General features: G+C 35.3%; 2 annotated features.

Annotated features, from left to right (window-relative positions):
• Nucleotides 933-1,479: an enhancer, noted in NCBI's record as "OCT4-NANOG hESC enhancer chr13:65258417-65258963 (GRCh37/hg19 assembly coordinates)". NCBI's record gives its function as "activates a minimal SCP1, AML or CMV promoter by ChIP-STARR-seq in primed H9 embryonic stem cells {active_cell/tissue: H9 hESC(primed)}" and the evidence as "EXISTENCE:reporter gene assay evidence [ECO:0000049][PMID:30033119]".
• Nucleotides 1,480-2,025: an enhancer, noted in NCBI's record as "OCT4-NANOG hESC enhancer chr13:65258964-65259509 (GRCh37/hg19 assembly coordinates)". NCBI's record gives its function as "activates a minimal SCP1, AML or CMV promoter by ChIP-STARR-seq in naive and primed H9 embryonic stem cells {active_cell/tissue: H9 hESC(naive and primed)}" and the evidence as "EXISTENCE:reporter gene assay evidence [ECO:0000049][PMID:30033119]".

The raw sequence follows: 7,681 nt of genomic DNA on the forward strand, positions 1-7,681 counted from the left end.
TCAGAAATTAGCTGTTTCTCATACTGGGGCTTTTTTGAATGTGATGAAATGTTTTTTCTTGCTGCTTTAAAGATTTGTTCTCTGTCATTGTCTTGAAGTATTTTTACTATGATGTATGTGGGTATGAATCTCTCTGCACTTATTCTACTTAGAGTTCATTGAGCTTATTGGTTTAAGGATTAATGTCTTTTATAAAATTGTTAAGTAATTACTTGAAATATTTATCTGCTACTTTATTTCTCTCGTGTTCTCTTTCTTTTGGTATTCCCTTTGCATGTATATTGTTGTGCTTAATAGTGTCCCACATATTTCTGAGGTTCTATTTATGTGTTTATTTATTTTTTCTGTTTATAGAGCACATAATTTCTACAGATTTGTCTCCAAGCTTGCTGATATTTTCCTCTGCCAATTCATATCCACTTGTGAGCCCCTTTGGTAAATTTTGTATTTCAAATATTGTAATTTTCAATTCCAGAATTTTAATTTGACTCTTTATATTTTCTATTTCTCTAGTGATATTCTATATTTGATGAGACAATGATATTTTATCCTTTTTTTTTTAACATCTTTAAGCATGGTTTTCCTTGGGCTTTCAAATGTAATTATAATAGTTACTTTGAATATTTTGTCTACTAAGGCTGACATTTGAGCCATCTCACATCCAGTTTTTTAACACTGCTGCTCTCCAATCTCCCATTTCTGGGGCCACAGTTTTCTGTGTGGGTACCTCACAATTTTTTGCTTACAGTTGGACATTTTGGATAATTTATTGTATCAAGTCTAGATATTGATTTCCCTTTTCTTTTTCTTCAGGGATTGCATTTGTTTTTATCTCATTGTGTGTTTATTTGTTTAGTAACTTGGGCAAGACTATTTTAGTAAAGTGTATTTTCTTTTCTTTTTTTTTTTTTTTGAAATTTAGTCTCCCCCTGTTGTCCAGGCTGGAGTGCAGTGTCGCAATCTCAGCTCACTGCAACCTCCAGTAAAGTGTATTTTCTATACAGTGTAAAGCCTCTGCTGTCACTCCTCTAAGGTATAAGGAGATTATCTTTGTGTATGAAGACAATCATCCTGGTATAATAGTGATTCTACAGGGCTTTCGTAGATAGTCTTTCCTTTATATTTCTCTTAACCTGTCTACCTCCGTTGGCATCTCCCCTATCTGGTAGACATCATGAATTGCCCGCTGATTGCCCTATTGAGTTCAACAATTCCCTGTAGCATAAATTACTTCACAGTCTCTTTGAAACAGTAGTTTTCTGAGGCTAGTTTTTGAGGTTTGTTTTTACGAGATGAATGGTCTTTTTACCTTTCTTTTCTGGGTGTGTGTGTGTGTGTGTGTGTGTGTGCACGTGCCTTGTAACCTGGTAGCCTCTAGTTTGTCCTATTGTGTTGTGAGATATCTAAACTCCCCTCCATTGCTTATCACCAAAATCTGTTTTGCAAATGCCTTCAAGTTCCCTACATTGTGGTCTAAATGAAGTCAATTCTCCTGGTGAACGCTTTGAACTACTCTGTATTACCACTTGTTTCACCCCCTGGGAAAAATCTCTGCATGAGTTCTCTATTGCTTGGAGTAGAGAGAGTGGCCCAATTCCTTTAGAGTGACACACTAGCTTCATGAACAGAGCACTTTTTTGCAGTCCCAACGTCTTCTTTTCTCAGCTTGACTCTTAGTACGGAACCCGTCTGCCTTTTGAGCAAGTTGGTTGAGGGGCTTTATTATCCTCAGCTTTCCATGCCTGGTTTGAGATCCCACCCTCTAAATGGGGTGGAGAATGCCCTTTACCTCTAATATATCCGCATTTGAAATACAGACCCTGCCACATGCTGCTGGGCAGAATGAGAAATAACAATGGCATGATTCTCCTGAAGTAATACTGTTGCCCTTGGCTGCAAGCTGGGAAAGAATAATCTCTATCTTTTTGGCTCACCCCTTCAGAGTGGAGCTTTCATCATGCTGAACTGAGCGGGGAAAAGATTGTTCATGGTTCAAGTCCACACATTCTTGTTTTTCTTATAAAGATTTAGTACATTTTCTTGAACAAGTGTTTATTATCTTTTGTATGCACTTAGAACAATTTCTGGAAACTGTATTTTTATTTTTTAAAATTTGTTATGGTTATTTACTGGGGACAGAGCTTTTCATCCACCATTCTGGAACTATTTTTCCTCCCTTGCTATACTTTACAAATTACTAGACTACTCTTAATGACAGCTATTTAGTTTGCAATTTGGAAAATAGCACACTAGCAGATTGAAGATAACCCTTTTAATGTCTGTGGACGGTAGAAATGAATTTCTGCTGTTGGTCAAAGTATCTAGGTCAGTTATGAAGAGCTTCAGAGTCAGGGACTGCTGATACCAAGTGTAATCAAATTGCTGATTGAGCTCAGATAACCATCACTGGTGTCCAGATCAACCATCCTATAACATTCATTCATTGTAACACATCCACTCTCATAGGCTAACTACCAATAATAAGACTACATGTTTGTAATACAAAGGCTACTGCTGCATGTCCGACTTTAATCAAATGCCATTTTTTCTTCACATAAAGAGAAAAGCACATTGTGCAGGTCTTTGCCTCTACGTGCTCTTGGTAAATTGACTTTCAATTGACATCCTCATGGGGCTATCAGTGTTACTTCAAAACTGTTGACAAATTTTTAGGTTAGAATTGTACTTCTCTAGTCTTATCAGTTAACTCCAACCACATAATTGTCTTCTTTGAAACTAATATGTCATATTTTCAAAGTTCCAGAAAGTTTATAGTCTTTTATATCTATTTATATAATCTGTTTTTTATATATATGTTTGTAGTCTGATATATATAATCTGTTTTATATATGTTATTTTTATAGTCTGATATATACATGTTATGTTATGTCTGATATACATAGATATGTCTGATATATATAGGTTATATACATGAGACATATATAACATACATATATATAACATAATGTAACCTGCATATCAGACATATATATGTATATATAACATATATATGCTATAAGGACACATTTCTATATATATGTCACTCAAAAATGGGCTTGTAGTCGAGGTATGTTGATAGGCATCCACAATGCCTACTGTAAAAAGTGAAGTAGAGGTTCCTCTTCAAAGAGACTTTCCTCCCCACCTAATTAAGAACAAATAGTAACTTCTCTTAAAAGCAAAATGTATTGAAAGACCTGTGCTAACACTCTTAAATATCTGCTAGCCGTAATAAAGACATCAATATACTTTGTGTTCTTAGCTCCCACAATTTAGCCTAAATATTTGCCCTGGCATGCTTATACTGGTTCAAGCAAGCATTAGGTCATAGCCTCTTCCTCTTCCTTATTGGGAGGTGTTTTTACCTTTCTCAGCATTCCAGAAGTTACTTCCTCCTTCCTTTGTTCTCCTCGGTCTTTGTCTCTTTTGAAAAGTTCTAAGTTGCTAGCCAATCAGGACAAATACAGAATGTGAGGTCCCGTTTCAGCCAATGGAAACTGGACACAGCAGTGGGGTGGACACGTCAGGTTATGAACAACCCTGTCTCCTTTGTTCAGTGTACTCTCATGGCAAAACTGCTGGCAAGTGTACCCTTTCTGCAGAAAGTAAAAATGGTCTTGATGAGAAAATTAAATTTATGTTCAGGTGCTATTTCTTTGTGGCACCGGGGAACAAGCATTTGTAACACTACCATCATTCTATTTTTTTGGACCTACACAAATGTCAATTAAAAAAAAATTTCTAACCCTGTCTCTCTTACTTCCTCCAGGGCCAAACATCTTAATAAGCCAATTTGCTGTATGTATATAGTTGACACAAGCAAAAAATCTTCTTCTCTTAACCACTTCCTGAAAAACAATTTTTTTAAACTATGGAGTTTTCTTAAAATATTTTTGAATGTTCAGGATTTAATCTTTATCGTTCCTAGACATACTATTTTTTCTCACATAGCACCACACCCAGAGCATCAGGTTGGTGCAGCTTGAAAGTGACAGCCCAGTGAAAATGGGATCTAAGATGTTTAATTTAATTTTGTTTAAAGCATCTGCATTCACTAGTTTGACTGACATGATTTCAGTTATGAAAAATAATGATTGAGTACTTGGTTGTATACTGTGTTTACTAAGTCGACCAAATCTGGCTCAAGAGGAAAATGGTTGTGGAAATAATGGATTTCTGTAAGTTTTATTATACAACTGTGCTTGTACTTCTTGCACCCAATCCCTCTAAATGACAAGTCCAGGTGTGATTATGTGATATTTAGTGAAAAAATTAAGTTATAGTTACTTGAATAGAACACATCATTTCTGTCATAGTGGAAAAACAGCAACAACCTTAGGCACTTGTGAAGGAAACTCTTCAGACCTTGAGAAACACAGGAGAAAGAGGGACATTAATGATCTTGTCTTCCAGACCTGCCCCTTAATCTTTTCTCTCAAAGAGAATGAATCCGATGTGCTCCTTTAAATATTATAAACACCTTAATTTGGCTGGGCGCAGTGGCTCAGGCCTGTAATCCCAGCACTTTGGGAGGCTGAGGCGTGTGGATCACGAGGTCAGGAGTTCAAGACCAACCTGGCCAATATAGTGAAACCCCATCTCTACTAAAAATACAAAAATTAGCCAGGTGTGGTGGCACACACCTCTAGTCCCAGCTACTCAGGAGGCTGAGGCAGGAGAATCACTTGGACCTGGGAGACGGAGGTTGCAGTGAGCTGAGACCATGCCATTGCACTCCAGCCTGGGCAACAGAGCAAGACTCCATCTCAAAAAAAAAAAATTAGAAAACAAACCTTAATTTAACCTGACTTTTAGGTCTGCATCACCCTGCCAAATGATTCTGATCATAATTTGATCAACATATCCATCAATATTACCAAGAAGTCTTCTGGAAACATCAGGAGGAGGACCCTGATACTGTCCCTCCCAGACAAACACATAGCAGCAATTATGGATGACTTTTGCACATGCAATTCCATAGCCATTTCTCAATTGTTCTGTGTAGCAGATGAATGCAACCTGGGTGATGGAGTAGACAGAAAGGACAGTCTTGGATACGTGTCTTCTAATTGAACTATGTTGATATTCAATACTTTAAACTGAACTAGGAATTTAAAGACCAGCTAGCTATCTGGAAAATCACATTGGAATCATTGACTGATATAGGTCTCATCTGGGAAGACTCAATTGTTATGCTCAACGTAATGTTTCCAAGGTCACCATATGTGACCTAGGACTGAACATCTTATGTAAAAATAAAGCAATTTGCTTGCCTCTTTCCTGGAAACATAACCTTAAACCAAAGAGGTTGCTATAGGAGTTTAAAGAAGCACAAGCAGTAGATCATGTAGCCCTCAGATGACTACATATTCCTCCCCCAAATGAGGCTTCTAATGGTCTTTGTGGGAGGTTTCTTGTAGGATAAGTGACTGATTACTTATGCTTACCATTTGGGAAATTATCTCTACAATGGGAGTCATCAAATTAGAAAAGACAGTAGAAAGATTCTTTCTGACGTTAGCTGAAGTGATCAGTAACACCTCTTCAGTCCCCAAAGTGATTTAGATCAGTCTCAACTCTCTGGCCAGGGTTGTTATGAATTATGTAATTTCTCTACTTTTTGTTCTCACAAACCAAGTTGAAGTCTGTGAAATAGTTTATGGGAATTTTTTTTTTCTTGGATCCGGCTAGATGTGGAACTCAGTGGGTGAGGCATTGCTGAGGTCAGTATTGTAGGTTGGTTTCATCTTCCTGTATGGAAACCTATTGAAAGCAGTGTTAGTTGAATGCTGTATGGCACAAATTAAATAGATATGGTCCCAGCCTTTCTAAGTTAGATTAATTAGAGTAGATGGTAGAGTGGTATACTCATGTAAAAGATGCATAAGCCAAAAAGTTATTAAATCAAGGTAGGAATCTCTTTGGATTTCTTGTGTTTGTATAGCTTTCAAGCAAGTAACTTGATATCCTTAGCAGTGGACAATCTTTTTATGAATGTTTTTACAGCATACATTCTTACAAGATTAGTGTCTCTCTCTAGAACCAAGTCCAGTCATGCTGACTATATAGTATTGTAAAGATAATATATTCTTCCTGAAAAGAGGGGCAGTCATGCTCATTGCCCAGTACAGGACATTCGGAGTTCCTTTCTTTTAAGCTAACTTACTGCAAGTGCAGTACATGTGGGCCCATATTGTGTTGTTTCCTCGGGACTTGGGATCTAGGGAAGGCAACACAGATGCTAATGCTCATGAAGCTGACTGATCTGTGACTTATAACATTTTTAATCCTTGATTCATAAGTCTCGTGTCTTACAAACATCATGCAAAAGATTGTGGTAGGCAAAGTTTTAGGATGCAAGTGGCATAAAATGGTGGACCATAAATATTTTTTGGCATAGATGTAACACCTTTTAATCATATCTTTTGGATTATGTTAAGTGAAGAGTAGGTATAGACACAATTCTAAAAGGAAACATTTTAATGAAAATAATAATATAGCTAAGTTTATATTTTTTCTCATTTTAAGACAATTTTAATTTTATTAAAAACAGAAGACCATGAATTTTCTTTGTTTAAAGAAACTCCTTTGAATTATTTACAGAATAAAAAAACTTTGCTTTGAGACTTTAATATCATATATAAGGCATTATACATTCTGTAAATAGCATGAGTAAGAAATACAGACCTTAGAATGGTTAGACTGTCCATTCTTGAGTGCTTTAATCGGAATATATGTAAATATTTATTTGAACTATATTATATGAAATATAATATTTCCCCATAGTTTTTGTCACATATTTTGTAATAATATTTTATTTAATATGGTTTAGCATAATACAATGTCCACACTTGAATATGAAATTAATACAAATCAAAGTTGCAAATGTGGTGACATTCAACGTTTCTTCATTTTAGGAAATAAATGCTAAAATCTCTTAGTTGCAAGATAAGCATGTTTCCCCCCTATTTTGTGTTCTTACAGGTCATTTGACTGAAGGCCACCAAAACAGTTGTCTCAAGTGTGAAAAGAGGTATTTACAAAGACTTGAAACATTCTTTCATATTCCCCAATGATAATATTTCAGGCAAGTAGTCACTAATGCTATAGTATTATAAAGCTAAGAGAAATACATCTTAAAATAAATGATTAAGTTTATACAGTTCCAGAGCTGAGCAAACAATTTTTCTTTGTTTTCCAAATATTTGAGTATTGTGGTAAAATAGCTATTATGCCCTCTCCTATAGCTAGTCTTTTATCTTTAGACAAAATTTATTTTTAATATTGAATAAGCAACACTTAATTGGAGTTTGCATCTGATTGTTGCCTAATAAAACATAACAAATCATATAATAATTCCAGTTTGAGCATTTTATTTATCAGCACTTGCTAGACAGATTAACTGTAACTTAGCAGGTGTGAACCTGAAAAAGCAGCCCTGTTTTGGAAGATTCAAAGAAATATATATGATTATGCACAAAGTTCTTACAATATAGGCATGTCAATAAAACTATTATTTTCATATCAAATGAGTGCTGGAAAATTTTAGTTAAATTTTTGTTAGAGATCCTTGAATAAACAAGTGGCTTATTTTAGAGATAATTAGATTTGTTCTTAATATTTTAAAAATACTGTTTGAGATTAATTCTTCTTTTTTCATTATTTCATTTTAGATCACTAT

This window comes from Homo sapiens, chromosome 13, assembly GCF_000001405.40.
Source record: "Homo sapiens chromosome 13, GRCh38.p14 Primary Assembly".
In the NCBI taxonomy this organism is placed as follows: Eukaryota; Metazoa; Chordata; class Mammalia; order Primates; family Hominidae; genus Homo; species Homo sapiens.